The 19,673-nt window shown below is 44.7% G+C and overlaps 1 protein-coding gene and 1 pseudogene across 1 annotated transcript in view, besides 2 other annotated features; both read right to left on the bottom strand.

The window, feature by feature from the left end:
* The window catches only part of RAB7A (RAB7A, member RAS oncogene family), an 88,616-nt gene that overhangs the window by 22,314 nt on the left and 46,629 nt on the right, over nucleotides 1–19,673 (bottom strand). The window lies entirely within an intron of this gene.
* RN7SL698P (RNA, 7SL, cytoplasmic 698, pseudogene) lies at nucleotides 7,037–7,338 on the bottom strand (annotated as a pseudogene).
* Nucleotides 10,161–10,661: an enhancer, noted in NCBI's record as "H3K4me1 hESC enhancer chr3:128500667-128501167 (GRCh37/hg19 assembly coordinates)". NCBI's record gives its function as "activates a minimal SCP1, AML or CMV promoter by ChIP-STARR-seq in primed H9 embryonic stem cells {active_cell/tissue: H9 hESC(primed)}" and the evidence as "EXISTENCE:reporter gene assay evidence [ECO:0000049][PMID:30033119]".
* Nucleotides 10,662–11,162: an enhancer, noted in NCBI's record as "H3K4me1 hESC enhancer chr3:128500166-128500666 (GRCh37/hg19 assembly coordinates)". NCBI's record gives its function as "activates a minimal SCP1, AML or CMV promoter by ChIP-STARR-seq in primed H9 embryonic stem cells {active_cell/tissue: H9 hESC(primed)}" and the evidence as "EXISTENCE:reporter gene assay evidence [ECO:0000049][PMID:30033119]".

Genomic DNA, 19,673 nt, shown 5'->3' with positions numbered 1-19,673 from the left:
CAGTGAGCTGAGATCACACCACTGCACTCCAGCCTGGGCGACAGAGCAAGACTCTTTTTCAAAAAGGAAAAAAAAAGAAAATAGATAAAAAGATGATAAAAGGATATGCAAAGATATTTGGAGAATATTTATGAAAGTGACTGATTTTAAGAATGGGAAAAGGGATTTGCATAACTTGCTTTGTTAATAGGTTTCACTGGTGTACCAATGCTGTTTAATAATATTAAAAAGAAAAAAAACAGGAAATACACTTCAACCTCCAGACTCCTACATGATAGAATTCATGTTTGTTTCCTTCCCTTTGAGTCTCTACCCACACGTGTCACAAAGCAGTGACCGTGAGACCACCTTACGTCTTAATGTCTAATATTCCTCTGAGTGAATTAAGCATTTAAATAGCCATTCCCGCTCTTTATTTAATATAACAAAAATTTGGAAAAAATGCTGTAATCTATGGGATTACTTCCTTGAGATACAGCAACACCTGTGTGAGGGTTGATGGGTGGGTAGATCTTTCTAGATTCTGACTCGTAAGATTATCACAGGCCACATGTGGCACAAGCCCACTGAGAAAGACTGGGACAGACAAAGCTGGCAGGCAGGGCAGTGGCAGGTCATCAGCAGCAGCAGTTCTTGCAAGAGTCCATACAGAAGATGGCTCAGGCACAGGGAGACTGTGCCGACTCAATACCTTGACTCAGAATGCTCAATCCTGGGGGTGCAAGTATCTCTTTTGACAGCTCCTTAGGCTCCCCATAAGGACATGCCCAGCAGAGTCACTGTGTTCCATGAAACAAAAGCCTGGGTGGCCCATCACTTATCCATGGCTCTTTCCCATCCAAATGTAATTTACCAACCAGGGGACATTTTACCACAAGGACCATGCCCAGAAACAAATGTTATGTTCTGCCTTATCTAGCTCCCAGGGAAACAGAGCTAGAAAGTTAAACAAAAGTCAAATTCTCATGCAAGGAAAGGATTTTGTCAACTGTAACTCACAGATTCTGTTTAGGGATGGGATTTCTGAGTCCAGAGCAAAGTTTTGGCCAGGCGCGGTGGCTCACGCCTATAATCCCAGCACTTTGGGAGGCCAAGGAAGGTGAATCACCTGAGGCCAGGAGTTCGAGACCAGCCTGGCCAACATGGGAAAACTCTGTCTCTACCAAAAATACAAAAAATTAGCTGGTCGTGGTGGTGGGCAACTAATCCCAGCTACCAAAAAGGCTGAAGCAGGAGAATCGCTTGAACTCAGGAGGCGGAGGTTTCAGTGAGCTGAGATCACACCACCGCACTCCAGCCTGGGCAACAAGAGCAAAATTGTCTTTAAAAAAAAAAACAAACAAAACATGAAGAAGTTTTCATGATTTTTGCTAATTCACTTTCCTGAAAGATTTTTCCCATTTATACAACAATCACTATTACAGTGGTTAGCACGAGTACAGGACCTAAATGAGAAAAATAATTTTACAGAGAAAAAAAGAATTTGAATAAACAGTCTATGGGAGCCTTAATGTAAAGACTTGCATTCATGCATTCTCTCCTATTTAAACAAGTCCAGGGTTGTTGTTGTTGTTGTTGTTTTTGAGGTGGGAAGGGGAGGCTGGGGAGCATTTAATATAAACAATCCCGTTTTTATTCATAAAAATAAATAAATACACAAGAAATGTCCCTTCCCCTAAAACACAAATGACAAGAGACTTGCCTTTACAGTCTTGAAAAGCATGTTATAAAAATACAGTATTAACAGTGGGGTGCTGGAATAGGACTAAACCGATCAATGAAACAGACACCAGAAATGAACAATTTTGACAAATATGGCATTATAAAATTCAGTGGCAAAAAGATGAACAATTCACTAAATGGTAAGAGCCAGAAAAATTTTGGTGAGAATTAAGATCTCTACATCTCCTCTTCCAAGAGATTCCCAAAGGAGTAAAGATTTAAATGTAAAAATGGTTACACATGAAGCAGAAAGGAATATACACAAATATTAGCAAGTTGTTCCATGTGGTGGGATTACAGATGTTTTTGTTTCCTTATACTTAACTGTGACTCTTAGAGGAGCACATTACCTTTACACTCAAACAGCCACCTCCACTTTGGAGAAAAATGTTAATCTGTTGATTTTTTCAAATCAATTTCTGATGACAAAAATCTCCACTCATCATGTAAGACAAATTACATTTAAATGCAGATTTTCATCTTCACTCAGGGCTGGCTAAGCATTTCAGAGTTGTTGCAAATGGTACTAAACAGCTGATACTAAGAATTCCACATCTTCTTTCACCAGGACATTGATGGCTTTAAACTGGCAAAAGTTAAAAGGTATATTTTTGTACTTAATGTTCTCCCAGATCAAGAATGGGACACTTGTTTCTAGAAAAGAGCCAGGGGCCAGGCGTGGTGGCTCATGCCTGTAATCCCAGCATTTTGGGAGGCTGAGGTAGGTGGATCACGAGGTCAAGAGACTGACAAATCCATCCTGGCCAACATGGTGAAACACCAGCTATACTAAAAATACAAAAATTAAGCTGCGCGTGGTGGCACGCGCTTGTAATCTCAGCTACTTGGGAGGCTGAGGCAGGAGAATCGCTTGAACCTGGAAGGTGGAGGCTGCAGTGAGCCGAGATCACACCACTGCACTCTAGCATGGGCAACAAGAGTGAAACTCCATCTCAAAAAAAAAAAAAAAAGCCAGGAACAAAACACACTAAATGCAACTTTTGCTACAAGAAGCTGCCCAAGCAGAGTTAGCTTCAAAATGTCCAAAAGCAATTTCTGCTTTTGTTATCAATTTCTATTTCCATCTTCATGGATTTCTGAAGACTGAAATTATTTTTTAAAAGCCTATGGCCAGGCATGGGTGACTCATGCCTGTAATCCCAGCACTCTGAGAGGCTGAGGCGGGCAGATCACTTGAGGTCAAGAGTTCGAGACCAGCCTGGCCAACATGGTAAAAACCCATCTCTACTGAAAATACAAAAATTAGCTGGGTGTGGTGAAACACACCTGTAATAACTACTCGGGAGGCTGAGGCAGGAGAATCACTTGAACCCAGGAGGCAGAGGTTGCAGTGAGCCGAGATCGCATCACTGCGCTCCAGCCTGGGCAACAGAGCGAAATGAAGTCAAAGATTTAAAAAAAAAAAAAAAAAAAAGGCTACAAAGTTTGAAATTTCTAACTGGAAAACAGTTCTCTAAAGCACCGACCACTTCCTCTCACAGGAGAATCTGCAGCCAGCAGAGTAGAAAGGAAGAAAGAGTTACATAAGATCTCTGAGACCTGGTCCTTCAAGGAAAGCATTTTAGATAACATCCATTAATCCATGTATATATTAATATCCTCTAAAAATTTTCTAGAATAAGGTATATTCATAACACATTTCTTTCCTTCTGCCACCAAACCAAACCTCACCAGTGTGCATCGGAAGAAGCTCCTCAGAGCGAAACTACCAGTATTGGTACCAGTATTTGAACGATGAAACAATTCTTTCTTTCAAGTACAATGTTTCTCATAACAAATCAAAAGCTGGCATCTTCCTTTATTCGCCTGCAGTCATCACCTTCTTCATCTATGCCACAGAAAAGCCAAATGGCCACATAAGCAGACAAAATAAGGAAACATGAGCAGGTAAAAAGATCAAGAAAAATATTGTTCAAGGGCTTGGGTGGGCAGAGGTCGGTGGTCAGAAAGAGGTTAACCAGGAATACACAGGGGTACCTAGGGGAAGGGCAAAGGACTGCTATGGTGAAAATGAGGACAGCAGGGAAGGGCTAGGAAGTTGGGGGTCAGTTAGCAATTCGAAAGTCTGAATTCTTGCAGGTAGGATAACAGCTCACGTGGAGGTGAAGGCTTTATGGTGTTGCAGGAATTGAAAGCAAAGTATAGTAGTACCCACTTATCCATGGGGGGTAGGCCCCAAGACCCCCAGTGAATGCCTGAAACACAGCAAGTACCAAACTTGTCATCCGTCAGGACACATTGATGATGTTCATGTTTTCCACCTACAAATTTAATGCTTTTTCCATTGTAACTAACCACTCATCATATACTGTGGCTTTTACCTTTTGCAGTATGAGGTGTCACAGCAAAATTAGCATGATTTTCTTTTTCCTTCTTCACAATTTCAAAGATAGAAAATATGTTCTCACAAATTTTAGCAACCTCGGCATACAATTTTTTCACTTTCCTTATTAAGTCAACAATTTTTACCTTTTCACTTCAAGAGCTTCTCTGTGGCATAACCAAATTGCCAGCATCTTGTGCTTTGGGACCATTATTAAGTCAATTATGAGTTACTTGAACACAAGCATTGCAACATTGATGTGATAACCAAGACAGCTACTAAGTGACTAACGGGCAGGTAGCATCTATGGTGTAGAAACCCTGGACAAAGCGATGATTCACTTCCTGGGTGGGATAGCACAAGCTTCATCAAGCTAATCCAAACAGCACGCAATTTAAAACTTATGGCAGGGTGCAGTGGCTCATGCCTGTAATCCCAGAACTCTGGGAGGCTGAGGCAGGAAGACTGCTTAAGGCCAGGAGTTTTGAGACCAACCTGGGCAACATGTTGAAACCCAGTCGCTACAAAATATTTAATACATTACCTGGGCATGGTGGTACACTCCTGTAAGTCCCAGTTACTCGGCAGGCCGAGGTGGGAAGATGGCTTGAGCCCAGGAGTTTAAGGCTCCAGTGAGCTATGATCGCTCCACTGCCCTCCAGCCTGGGTGACAGAACAACCCTCTGTCTCAAAAAGCAGACAAACAAAAAGAAACTTAAGAATAGTATTTCTATAGTTTCCCGTTTAATATTTTCAGACCACGATTGACTGCAGATAAAGAGGATTACTATATCTGCAAAGCCATCAAAACAACAGTGTAAAATGCAGGAGATGAAATTGAACCAGGTGTTCATCACATCCACAGTCAGACAGCAACGAAGTGGCAGAGCTGGAATTACCAGGAGTGTCAGCCCAGGTCCTACCATGCCATTTTGCAGTACCAGCTCTCACCCAAAGGAGGATTCTGGCTTGTGAGGGCTGGGACTTTTAACAAGTCTTTTATGGCAATTCAGGCATACACACCAAGTTTGGAAACCACTGATGTGAAGAGTCTACAACTACTGTTCTGATTTACATGTTGTGCCCGATCCAAAACCGTAATGATAGCACTAGATATTTGAACAAATGCTAAAGGTTCAACAAAGCCATGACAGTTAAACCAATTAATGTTCTATAGTTTGTTAACATTTTTAGTTGGTTGGTGTTTCCAAGTTGCCTGTCTGCAACAACTGGGTCCTAATCACAGTTGGCTTTTCTGCTCCCCTGCACTGTTCCCACCCTAACTATGGTATCAAATTGTAGAAAACTCAGGAAGGTACGAAAGAATGAAGACAAAAAGCTACTGACAATTCCATCTCCCAGAAGCAATCACTATTAGTATTAGAGTATATGTCTTTCTAGTTTTCCTTCAAATGGTTGAGGTTATATACCATGTATAACTTTGCATCTTGCTTTTTCTATATTAAATATCTTCCCATGTTATTAACATTAAGGTTGCATGATATTCAGCACATGGATAATCTCAAAATTTCCCTTGCTGCTAAGTATGCATTGTTTTCAATTATGATGAGATGAACCTACATATACACTCTGTCAGCATAATCTGATCAGACTCACAAATGTTTTAATCACTCGGCATTTCTTGGATTAGTAGAATACATTTCATCCATGTGTCTCTCATTCTGCTGATGGTCTTTGCCTACCCTGCCTACTAGAATGTGACTTATTGCACATATGATCTAAATATAGCACTGGGAAGGAAGCATCATAGGGATACAGAGTTCGGAAGTAGCAGGCTTCTGAGCAGATTCCAAAGTAACATTCCACACTTTCACCAGCACGGAACATGGGTAAATGTCTCTCTGTCCATCTCATTTTCTTCCAAGACTTCATGCTCTGTATATGACCATTAGAGAAGACCCAGCAGTCATCTTGCCCTCAAAACTGATTGACTTCAAGGCTCAGAGTGAAGTAGGCAAGCAATATTTGCTCATAAAGTTTTGGAGAAGGTCATGAGGAGAGACCAGAAAGGCATCGAAAGTCACATAATACTACTGCACTGGGCATCAAGCAGAACAGCAGTGTCTGTTGTAGGCAGACTCTTCTCAACTTCCCAAACTGAGGAATCTAATTAGGGCCTGAATAGTGAAGACCCCCTGAAACAGCAAGACATCACTACCACTTACAGAATGCACTTTGTGCCGGGGACTGTACTACAGACTTTCCTGGGGCAATTTGTTTACTCCTCCAACAAACCAAGCCTATAGGGATACAATGAGAATTCCCATTTAACAGATGAAGAAAAAGAAGCTCATCAGGAGTCACTTGGTTTCTAAAAATATTCATTCTGGGGAGGGGGCAAGAATAGAAAGACCAGTAGTCTGACAAGGAAGAAGGAAGGGGATGAGTGGATGGCTCTGGCCAAGCCACTTTTGTGGAATTATGAAGTCATTTGGGGGCACTCGGGAAGTAGGCCGTCAGTCTGTTGTTCCATTTAGAATTACCACCTCTAGGAAGAAACTCAGTAGGAAAAGACAGAAGCCTTTGAAAAGAAACATTAAGGATCTAGGGGGGCAGGATAAACACTTTCATTACAATGAAAATATCTAGTGAGAGAAGCACATCAAGGAGCTGACCAAATACCTTAAAGAATTTTTTTTTTTTTTTTTTTTGAGACAGTCTTGCTCTGTCGCCCAGGTTGGAGTACAGTGGCGCGATCTCTGTTCACTGCAACTTCCCCCTCCAGGGTTCAGGCAACTCTGTCTCAGCCTCCCGAATAGCTAGGACTGCAGGTGCGAGCCACCACGCCTTTTTGTATTTTTAGTAGAGATGGGGTTTCACCATTTTGGCCAGGCTGGTCTCAAACTCCTGAATTCAACTGATCTGCCTGGCTCAGCCTCCCAAAGTGCTGGGATTGCAGGCATAAGCCACTGTGCCCAGCCTAAAAAATTCTTTTAATTTTTTATTTTCAAGAGACGGGTTTCACTGTGTTGTCCAGGTTGGAGTGCAGTGGCTTTTTACAGGTGCAATCCCACTACTGATCAGCATAGGAGAGATGTTTCATCTGCTCTATTCGCAACCTGGGCCGGTTCACCCTCCCTGGGCAACCTGGTGGTCACCTGCTTCTGAGGGGTCACTCTACTGATGCCGAAGTTAATGCAGACACCCAATTGGTATAATGCCCTAAAACCCAGAACTCCTGTGGCTCAAGTGACCTCCTGCCTCAGCCTCCTGAGTGGCTGGGACTATAGGTATGCACCACTGTGCCCAGATGCAAAAATGTAATTCTGTTCTCTCTTCTACAGAGTTAAGAAGCTCTACTCCAATATTTGGTAATCCCAGCTACCAGGGAGGCTGAGGCAGGAGACTCACTAGAACCTGGGGGGTAGAAGTTTCAGTGAGCTGGGATTGCATCACTGCACTCCAGCCTGGGCGACAGAGCGAGACTGTCTCCAAAAAAAAAAAAAAAAAATCATGCCATGAATAGAACTCTTAAGCCCCAGGACTACTAATCATTGTGTTATTAATCTTACTATATTAATCAAACATATACCAAGGGCAAAAGTAGATACGAGACTATAAGGAGAAATCATACCAAATGCAAAAAGTAAAATACTACTGTGATCAAGACGTGTTAAGTTTACTTTAAGGGTAATTACCTTGGTTGGGAGAATTAGGGAAGGATTCCTCTGGGAAGAACTGAACCTGGATATGAAGGGGGAAAAGGGAACAAACAGTTTTCCTTAAAGAACGCACATGCAAGGCCTTACTTGGAGGGGGATATGAAAATGAGGTGCCTGGGCCTGATCACGCAGGACACAGTGGGCCGTACTAAGGTCCCAAAACCACAGAGTAATGAGAAGCCTGACTTGTGGAGATTTCTAAGCAGCAGTGTTCATCCTGCAGAGCCAGCGCCCTGCCTGCCTGCAGTGGGGAGGGTAGGAGACCCTGCGGTGGACAGTGAGGATGCTGCGCCACCTTCAGGCAAGAGAGGACTGCACTAGACCAGTGTGAAAGCAGAAGAGAATGGGGAGAAAGTAAAGGTGGATGGCATCTAGTGATGGATTGGATTGGGATGGGTATGGGAAATGAGGGAAAACGCCAAGGAAGTCACCTGTGTTTATGTCTCATGGGACCAAGAGGATTTCTTAGATCAGGGAAGTCTGAAAAACAGTAACGTGTTTCTTGGGGAGGAATTGTGTTTGATTTTAGACATGCTAAGTTTGAGGTGATTCTCAACCAAATCTATTTTTAAAGATACAGTGGTATTTAGTTATATTTAAGCTTCACTGTTAACTGAGGGAATACTAGTTTGTGCTAGGATTTTATGGCTGAAGTCTATCTAGACGCCTGTGCTAAATTGGGAATGTTACGTGCATTCACCAGACACGGAAAGCAAAAGAGAAGAGATGGCTGGACCTGCCATCTAGAGGTCTGCTGTCTGGTGGCCCAGATGACATAATCATGGCAAAGTACAGCAAAGGAGAGAGCACTACCAGCAGAAATACTGAATGTTTTCAAAGGCAAGACTAAACAGCTGAACGTGCAATGCCTAAAAAGAAGTGTTCAGCATGTTAAAAATAACTGGTCAAAACATTTTACTGGTTATCAATCCCTTAACAAGCTTCAGAGAAGTTCCCAGAAAGCATGCTGGAAAATGTTAAATGACTGGAATGAGAAAGAGCAAGATTGATGGTTCAGGTACAGAGAGCAGCTAAGCATCAGGGGGGTGGCGCAGTAAGTTATCCTGGCAGGCCAATGAGACAGTTGGGATTCAGGAACAAGGCCCGAAGGCATAGATCCACCAAGGCTAGAGGCCTGAGCGGGCACATAAAAGCAGCCAGGTGAGGGAGATATCTAGTCTACCCTTACAGTCCTTCTCCAGAATACACCTCGTTCCCAGCCACCACACGGCTTGTCTCAAATGGGCTTGCCATTCCTCCCACAGGGTCCCACCTCACCCCCTAATGTAATGCCCTTTCTGCCCAGGAGCCTGCTCATCTGGAGGGGGCAGGTGAGGTCTAGGCAGTGTTGAGAGCCTGTCTTCCTGGATACTACTCCCTCAAACGCAAGAGCACCTGGGGCCCAGACACCTTTTTGAAAAGCATACTTGAATCATGACTACCTGGGTCTCTGCCTCTCATCTAAGTGGGGGTAGGGCAGGAGGAGGATAGAGCAGGTGGGAGGTGTGTGTTTGTGGGGGGCGGGGGGGCGGGGGATAAATTCTCCTTGAAGGTATTCTCTCCTTCATCCCCAAATTCCTAATCCCAGTAGTGCCTGTGGTGCAAGGGCTTGGTAAACAATTGTGCAGGGACAGTGGACATGCCCAGAGGCCAAGTAAGAGATGATGGAGAATGCCAATCTGTCTTTGTTTAGATATACATTTTTGGGTCACTGCCTCTGTGAGAGTGCCTTCTTTTAGGTTCCCCTGAGGGCTGCAGATGCTTAGCACAAGACACTCTCTTACTCAAATGAAGACTTTGAACCTCTTGCCCATTATGACACCTCATATATACCACTAAGCAAGAAAAGGTGGGCTGACAATTCTGGCCAAGGAGAATTCTCTGAAGCAGCAACAACAATAAGTGTTACCTGGACTCTTACTTAAAACGTATAGACAGTACTTCCTCATGCTTGGTGACCTGTGATCCTTTGGTAATAAATAGTTGAAGAGAGTAAACAAAATCTAGAGAGATTATACAAGACATAAAGAATGCCTGGGCACTTCCCCCACCCCCCACCCCGCCATTTCCAGGTTTCAATAAATTCTGCTGACAGCCCTGCATCCTACTAGAGCCTACTATGGACAACAGAGGCATGCTGATGTGTGTCACAAGAAGGGGTGGCTAAGTATCAGAAGGTACAGTCACTTTTGCTGTTACTACTGGTCACAGCAGGCCTTTGTGCCATGAACACAGTGCTGTCCCTTAGAGCCAGCCCATGGAGCTTATGTGGCACCATCAAAGGTGACCTCACACGCTGCTTGTGAGGCTGGGAAAAGGGCACAGGGAGGAAGACAGCAAGCATCTCCACCCATGCGGGCATCAGCCTGGATGGACCATGAGGGAGAACGGTTCTGGCATGTGCAGTGTTTCTCCATTCAGCTAGAGCTCAAATGGCATTTTCTTCCTGAGAATTCGAGATTTACACAACTTGTCTAAGGCTCCATAGCTAGTCATGTGCAAGGTAGCAGGCCAGGTTCTATTTTGTCCCATTCAAAGATGCTTAAGGAACTTGAGATCACAGTCCCTATTGTAGGTAACCAGAAGGAAATGCTCCCAAATTCTCAGGAAGACTGCTAATTATACTGAACACTGGGGAAAGAAAGATGGCTAGAAATTGCCAAAACAAGACAATGGAAAGCCAACCTTCCGGTTTTAGGATCACAACCATGGGTTTTGTTTTTGAGATGGAGTCTCGCTCTGTCGCCCAGGCTGGAGTGCAGTGGCGCGATCTTGGCTCACTGCAACTTCTGCCTCCCAAGTTCAAGGGATTCTCCTGTCTCAGCCACCTGAGGAGCTGGGATTACAGGCACGTGCCACCGCACCCAACTGATTTTTGTATTTTTGGTAGAGACAGGGTTTCACCATGTTGCCCAGGTTGGTCTCGAACTCCTGGCCTCAGGTAATTCAGCGCCTCGGCCTCCCAAAGTGCTGGGATTACAGTAAGCCACCGTGCCCGGCCACAACCATGGGTTTCAATCTCACCTCAGATACATTCAGCTGTGTGAACTGTTTTTTGTTTTTTCAGACAAGGTCTCTCCCTCCTTCCCAGACTGGAGTGCAGTAGAGCATGATCACTGCAGCCTCGACCGCCGGGGCTCAAGAGATCCTCCCACCCTTGGCCTCTTGAACAGATGGGACTACAGGCACACGCCACCATGCCCAGCTTTTCTTTTTTGAAAAATTTTTTGGTAGAGATGAGGTCTCTCTACATTGCCCAGGCTGGTCTCAAACTCCTGGGTTCACACATTCTTTCCCACCTTGGCCTCCCAAAGTGCTGGGATTACAGGGATAAGCTACCCCAAGTGGCAGCTGTGTGAACTTAAATGCCCCTCTGCTTCCATGTGAAAAATGAGAATCCTCCACAAATGAGATAATGCACAGAAAGCTCCTAGCATTCCATTTGACACATGAAATATGGGTGGCTTTGTTATGAGGGCTTTTCTAACTTAAATGAAAAATATGCACTTAATCAACAAGTATTATTCCATCTTCCAAATCTCACTACTGTAATCTCTCACACTAACTTCAAGATTTTTGCTGTATCCATGTCAATGCAGACATGAGTCTAATGTCCTTGTTGTATTTCTAATACAAATTATGCATTCAGCTATATACTACCTAAAACTGCAGTGTGATCTGCATTGGTGTACTGCATCATATGTTAACAAACAGGGCAGTAGAGAGTCACATTTAGCATAAGACCCTTGTCATTTGAGGAAGATATGGAGACCTTTGTGAAGTCCTAATTGGCCAATACCAATTTTTACATAGGGCAAAAATGCCCTTTGTTAGAAGAAAAACAAAGCAGCACTGAAACATGGGCACTGGGTCACTAAGTGGCTCACTCCCATATACTAATTTGAATTCTTGCCTCCACTTTTATTGTTTTGCAGTGACCACATAGGCACATGGGCCCTAAGAACATGGGTTACCACTCATGATCCTATCCACTTCATGCTAAAATATCCTATGCCCTAACAGCCTCTTTCTGGCCCCACTTAAATCTGATCATGTGTTGCTATTTTTAATTCAGAAGCAGTAGTCACTGACCATGAGCTAGGGGGTAAACACACCAAATCCAGTTCAAACACTTGCTGAGTGCCATGAAGTGTCCATTACTGAGCTAGGTGCTGGGGATGACCTGCAGACAAAACTGTAAACACTTTCTTACTTCAAAAAGGGGCCATCTCAGTTCTCTATAAGCTGGTAAGTACAAGATTGTGTCCTGTAGCTTTGTAAGTGTTAAACTGGAAACCTCAGTGGCTATATTCAACTAGCTACTTCACAACTCCTTCCTGGACAAGGGCATCTACACAATTCTGAAACCGCCTCCACAGAGTTGAAAAAAATGGCCTGCTGGTTCTGGATAGAAATATAGTTACAACAAAGCATTAATCAGACTGTACTTTGGCCCCTTTCCTTGTTGCTACAAGTCTGACTTTTTGCATCCCCACTGTTCCTAGAGATAGGATTTCTAACATCAGGGTCATAAAATTGTGTGAAAATTGATTTGTGTCCCCACTGTTCCTATAGACAGCATCTCTGACATTAGAATCATAAGGCTTTTATTTAAGGATTGCTTAAGATGTATATCAGACCCCAATTCCAGCAACCAGTTTGAAGACCCCCATGGAGGAACATGATCAGCATGAGAATACAGCTTCTCTCCCTGTCCCATGACTTCACTCTGCACTCTTTGACCAATCAACAATCTCCACACTTCAGCCCACTTAAAACCCTTAGAAATCCCAGCCCCAAACTCCCTAGGGAAATGGATGTGCAGTTCTCTCCTATCTCCTCATGAGGTGGCCCTATGATTAAACCTCTTTCTCAGCTGGGCACGGTGGCACACCTGTAATCCCAACAATTTGGGAGACCAGGAGTTTCGAGACCAGCCTGGGCAACACAGCAAGACCTCGTCTTTACAAAAAATAAGAAATTAGCCAAGCATGGTATCGTGCCTACTCCCAGCTACTCAGGAGGCTGAGGCAGGAGAATCTCCTGAGCCTAGGAGTTCAAGGCTGCAGTGAACTATGATCTTGCCACTGTACTCCAGTCTGGGTAACAGAGCAAGATCCTGTCTCCAACACCACCCCCCCACCCCACCCCAACACACACACAACTCTTTCTCTGCTACAACCCAGTGTCTCAGCATTGCTGCATGCATCAGGTAATGGACCTCTTATGGTTACAATTCTATGTATTTAGAAATGGTGAGGCCAGCTGTAGAACAAAACCAAAGCACCTGAAACTCAGCCACAATGAATCTCTCTTTTTTTTTTTTTTGAGACACAGTCTTCCTCTGCTACCCAGGCTGGAGTGCAGTGGCGTGATCTCGGCTCACTGCAACCTTTGTCTCCTGGGCTCAAGCAACTCTTCAGCCTCCTGAGTAGCTGGGATTACAGATGCCCACCACCACACCCGGCAAATTTTTGTATTTTTAGTAGAGACGGGGTTTCACCATGTTGGCCAGGCTGGTCTCAAACTCCCGACCTCAGGTAATCTGCCCGCCTCAGCCTCCCAAAGTGCTGGGATTATAGGCGTGAGCCACCGTACCCAGCCCCACAATGAATCCTTAAAAGTCATTTTATTTCAGCTCTATATTAGTCGATATACTTGGTCCACAATACTGAAACATCACCTGGTTTCTGCCCAAACACTTTCAATAATGATTAACTTCCTCCTATGCAGTGTTCCATCTTCAAACTATTCTAGCTGCAAAATCATGCAGTGAACTAGATTCTGTCTCTGTGTAGTTCTTCTCCCTGCCTTGTTCTGTGAGGCAGCAAAGTACCAATCTAATCCTTTTCCCATGTGATATCCCTTATTATTTGAGACACCCAGTCTATCGATCACCAAAACTGTACATCTCTGGTTCTCTCAACTCTTCTGCAAGCAACATGGCTTCTAGATGCCTTAACTTCTTGGTTGCCTACCTCTGGCTGGATTAGGCTCCTTTTATTTCTTTAAATGTCTGTATCTTTGTACAAGTACTATCCATTACTAAAACAAGTTGATGCTTTAAGAATGTCACATATGAAGAAAAACAGGATGACTGAGCATTTTATAAACTTCCAAAACTCCAAAAACTTTCTCAGTTCTGAAGTTCTGAATAATACTCATCGTAAGTATGATTAGCCTTTAGTGATTTTAACTGCCCAAGAAATATAACAACAGTTGGTTAGGCTTCACTATGATGCCAATCCCTGATTAGTCTAGACCACACATTCCTAACAGAGGTGATAATTAACATGGATCTGCAGCCCTCTAGGAGCCACAATGTATGCACAGCATATCCACGGTATTAAAATTTCATTGAAGCAGGGGAGACATTAGGAAAAAAAGGTCTAAAAAGGCTTAGGGGTAAAAGAGAGGTACAATAATGAAAAAAATTGAGAAAACTAGTTTAAACCTGAACTGTCCAATGTAACAGTTACTAGCCACCGGTGGCTATTTAAAGGAAATTGCATGATCTCAAATACAGTCTCTCAGCCATAGCTACTATATTGGACAGTTCTACTATACAGTGTTGGTCTAAACAATTCTAAGGCATTTTACTAGGATTAATATATACTCTTCAAACATCTCAAGACTCAATTTATAGCCCTTACTCATTTCACTACTTGATATCTACACCATCTTCTTTCCCTCCTGACACACAATAAAAATACTGGCTCTTTGGCCAGGCGCGGTGGTTCATGCCTGTAATCCCAGCACTTTGGGAGGCCGAGGCGGGCAGATCACTTGAGGTCAGGAGTTCAAGACCAGCCTGGCCAGCATGGTGAAACCCTGTCTCTACTAAAAATACAAAAATTAGCCAGGTGCACACCTGTAATCCCAGCTACTTGGGAGGATGAAGTGGGAGAATCGCTTGAACCCGGGAGGCAGAGGTTGCAATGAGCCAAGATCGCGCCACTGCACAGGAGACAGAGTAAGACTCCATCTCAAAAACTAAACAGAAATTGATCACAATGATTGACTGGAGCAGCTTTTATAGAGTCCTTGGCTGAGCAGGGTAAAGTTTTAAAACTTCAATGCAAATTTTTACAATTCTGTGTAACACAAAGTTTTCTCTGATTAGGTGTGAAAATCTGCTAGTGATAGTTTAGTTTCATCAGATTGGAGACAGTCCTCCTGAGGAGTTCTAAGGAGTTTTGCAAGGCAGTCACATGTGTTTTATTATCAAGTATTATAAGAACAATAGAGGCTGGGTGCAGTGGCTCTTGCCTGTAATCCCAATACATTGCGAGGACTGCTTGAACCCAGGAGTTTAAGAACAGCCTGGGCCACATAGGGAGACCCCATCTCTACAGAAAACAAAAGAAAGAAAACCTTAGCCAAGTGTGGTGGCATGCGCCTGTAGTCCCAGCTACTTGGGAGGCTGAAGTGGGAAGATCACTTGAGCCCAGGATGTCAAGGCTGTAGCGAGCAGTGATCATATAACTGTACTCCAGCGGCTGGGTGACAGAGTGAGACCCTGTCTCAAAGAAAAAAAGAATCATACTGAGAAACAACAGAGTGCAGAGATAATCTACGAAATGGGAGAATATATTTGCAAAACATATATCTGATAAGGGCTTAATACCCTAAACATATAAGGAACTCAAGCAACTCAATTGCAAGAAAACAAATAATCTAATTTTTAAAATGGGCAAAGGACCTAAAAAGACATTTCTCAGAAGAAAATAGACAAATGACTAATAGGGGTGTGTGTGTGTGTGTGTGTGTGTGTGTGTGTGTGTGTGTGTAGCTCAACTAATCATCAGGGAAATGCAAACTAAAGCCACACTGAGATACCACCTCACACCCGTTAGAATGGCTACTACCAAAAAGACAAAGATTGGTGTTAGGATGTGGAGCAATGGCACCCTTGCACACTGTTGGTGGGAATGTAAATCAGTACAGCCATTATGGAAAACAGTATGGAGGCTGCTGAAAGTATTAAAAATAGAACTCCCATTTGATCCAATGATATAGCCAAAGGATATGGAATCAGTACGTGGAAGAGATCTGCACTCACATGTTCACTGCAGTATTATTCACAGTAACTGAAATATGGAATCAACTTAAGTATCCATCCATGGACGAATGGATCAAGAAAACGTAGTTGGTCAGGCATAGTGGCACACACCTGTAATCCTGCAACTTTGGGAGGCCAAGACAGAAGGATTGCTTGAGCCCAAGAGTTTGAGACCAGCCTAAGCAACATGGTGAAACCCCATCTCTAAAAAAATTAATACAGTAGCTGGGTGTGGTATTGTGCACCTGTGGTCCCAACTACTTGGGAGGATGAGGCAGCTGGGCCCTAAGGGATCAGGATCACTTGAGCCTGGGAGACCCAGGCTGTAGTGAGCTGTGTTCGCACCACTGTACTCCAGCCTGGGCAACACAGTGAGACCCTGCCTGTAAAAAAAGAAAAAAAAAACCGTGGCATATATGCACAATGGAATACTAGTCAGCCTTTTAAAACAAAGAAATTATGTCATTTGCCACAACGAGGATGAACCTGGAGAACATTACATTTAGTGAAATAAGCCTGGCACAGGAAAGACAAATAGAGCATAACCTCACTTATCTGTGGAATCTAAAGAAAACAAACTCATAGAAACAGAGAGTAAAATGGTAGTTACCAGAACCTGAGGGTAGGGTGACTGGGGAGACAATGGCCAAAGGACACAAAATTTCAGTTAAACAGGAGAAATAGGAGATCTGTTGTACATCATGGTGACTATGATTAATAACAGTGTACTGTATACTTGAAAATTGCTGAGACTAGATTTTAAACATTCACACCACAAAAAAAAAGTATGTGAGGTAATGCAAATGTTAAATAGCCTGATACAGCCATTCTACAATGTGTGTATATATATTTCAAAACATCATATTGTACACCACAAACATATACCATTTTTATTTATCAATTAAAAATTACTTGTCAAGTTAAAAAAAAAGAATTCTACTTAACAGGCATTTCATGGGGCTAGATTTATATTCCTCAACAATTTCCTTATGACCACTTCCAACAACATCCCAAAGTAAAACAAATTCATTTAGGTAAAGGATAATCTGTCTCCACACTTGGAATTTTTTAATGCTCCAAAACAAGTGTAGTAAATAATGCAAAGCATAACATTATGCCTGCTCAGGACAAATGGAGAAAACTTAAACTTAACCTCTACCACCATCCATGGGATACAAGCCCCAGAGTTCTCAAATCAGGAAGCCCACAGAATGTGGTACGGCACTGCTACTAAGAAAAGAGAGAAGGGGAAGAGGCGAGGGATGTTACACCAGGTGAAAGGCAAATGTGTCCTCTTCTCTGCTAGTGGAGGAAGGGTGGAGACTAACGGAAGACAGACTGAACTACAGTTGACCAAGACAATGGGGCTCAACAGAAGGCAAGGTGAACAGTCTCACTAAAAGCCAGGTGGCCTACCAGTTCCCATCTGAACACAAGCTGTGGCCAAAGACCTACAAATGTCCAGGTTGCATTTCTACCTCTCCTCCCCATTATTACTGCTATTCTCCAATCAAAGGACCCCAACCAGGGCTCTCCCTGCTCAGTGGCCCACTCCTCATACATTTAAGAAAAGGACATTAAGAAGGGATGTCGGCCGGGCGCAGTGGCTCACGCCTGTAATCCCAACACTTTGGGAGGCCAAGGTGGGTGGATCATCTGAGGTTGGGAGTTTGAGACCAACCTGGCCAACAACGGTGAAACCCCGTCTCTACTAAAAATACAAAAATTAGCCAGGTGTAGTGACTCACACCTGTAATCCCAGCCATACGGGAGGCTGAGGCACAAGAATCACTTGAACCCAAGGCCAGGTGCGGTGGCTCAAGCCTGTAATCCCAGCACTTTGGGAGGCCGAGGTGGGCGGATCACGAGGGCAGGAGATCGAGACCATCCTGGCTAACACGGTGAAACCCTGTCTCTACTAAAAATACAAAAAATTAGCTGGGCGTGGTGGCGGGCGCCTGTGGTCCCAGCTACTCGGGAGGCTGAGGCAGGAGAATGGCGTGAACCCGGGAGCGGAGCTTGCAGTGAGCCAAGACCGTGCCACTGCACTCCAGCCTGGGCAACAGAGCGAGACTCCGTCTCAAAAATAAATAAATAAATAAAAGAATCACTTGAACCCAGGAGGCAGAGGTTACAGTGAGCCGAGATTGCTCCATTGCACTCCAGCCTGGGCAACAGAGCAAAACTCTGTTTCTGGGAGAAAAAAAAAAAAGATCCAAGAGCCTTTCAGTTCAAAAGATGATCCAACTGACTGGAAGACTGGTTGAAAGGTGAACTTTTTTGCCACCCTCTCCCAACCACTCTCCACCCAACACCACAAAGAGTTAAGATCAAAGGAATCAAAAATTTTGGCCATATAGCATTTATCTCTTGCTGACATTAGAAAGGGAGAAGGGGGAAGTCACTCCTAGGGGAGTCAGACTGCCAACTCTTACCTAACAGCGTAAGTTTCTGCAGGCTTTTTTTTTTTTTAATTTTTTTTTTTTTTAGTTAATACATATATTAGGGGAATATATAGATAGACCTCTTTCCATATCAGAAGATGTAGATTACCTTATATTTAAAAAAATTTTTTTTCTTTTTTTTTTTTTTTTTAATTGATCATTCTTGGGTGTTTCTCGCAGAGGGGGATTTGGCAGGGTCATAGGACAATAGTGCAGGGAAGGTCAGCACATAAACAAGTGAACAAAGGTCTCCGGTTTTCCTAGGCAGAGGACCCTGAGGCCTTCCGCAGTGTTTGTGTCCCTGGGTACTTGAGATTAGGGAGTGGTGATGACTCTTAAGGAGCATGCTGCCTTCAAGCATCTGTTTAACAAAGCACATCTTGCACCGCCCTTAATCCATTTAACCCTGAGTGGACACAGCACATGTTTCAGAGAGCACATGGTTGGAGGTAAGGTCATAGATCAACAGCATCCCAAGGCAGAAGAATTTTTCTTAGTACAGAACAAAGTGATGTCTACTTCTTTCTACACAGACACAGCAACAATCTGATTTCGCTATCTTTTCCCCACCTTTCCCCCTTTTCTATTCTGCAAAACCGCCATCGTCATCATGGCCTGTTCTCAATGAGCTGTTGGGTACACCTCCCAGACGGGGTGGTGGCCGGGCAGAGGGGCTCCTCACTTCCCAGAAGGGGCGGCCGGGCAGAGGTGCCCCCCACCTCCCGGACGGGTCGGCTTGCTGGGCGGGGGCTGACCCCCACCTCCCTCCCGGACGGGGCGGCTGGCCGGGCGGGGGCTGCCCCCCACCTCCCTCCCGGACGGGGTGGCTGCCGGGCAGAGGGGCGCCTCACTTCTCAGACGGGGCGGCTGCCGGGTGGAGGGGCTCCTCACTTCTCAGATGGGGCGGCTGCCGGGCGGAGGGGCTCCTCACTTCTCAGATGGGGCGGCTGCTGGGTGGAGGGGCTCCTCACTTCTCAGATGGGGCGGCTGCCGGGCGGAGGGGCTCCTCATATCCCAGACGGGGTCGCGGCCGGGCAGAGGCGCTCCCCACATCTCAGACAATGGGCAGCCGGGCAGAGACGCTCCTTACTTCCTAGATGGGATGGCGGCCGGGAAGAGGCGCTCCTCACTTCCCAGACTGGGCAGCCGGGCAGAGGGGCTCCTCGCATCCCAGACGATGGGCAGCCAGGCAGAGACGCTCCTCACTTCCCAGACGGGGTGGTGGCCGGGCAGAGGCTGCAATCTCGGCACTTTGGGAGGCCAAGGCAGGCGGCTGGGAGGTGGAGGTTGTAGCGAGCCGAGATCACGCCACTGCACTCCAGCCTGGGCAACACTGAGCACTGAGTGAACGAGACTCCGTCTGCAATCCTGGCACCTCGGGGGGCCGAGGCTGGCAGATCACTCGCGGTTAGGAGCTG

This window comes from Homo sapiens, chromosome 3, assembly GCF_000001405.40.
Source record: "Homo sapiens chromosome 3, GRCh38.p14 Primary Assembly".
Lineage (NCBI taxonomy): Eukaryota > Metazoa > Chordata > Mammalia > Primates > Hominidae > Homo > Homo sapiens.
Note: the sequence above shows the minus strand (reverse complement) of the source record. Positions and strands in the feature narration are given on the sequence as shown.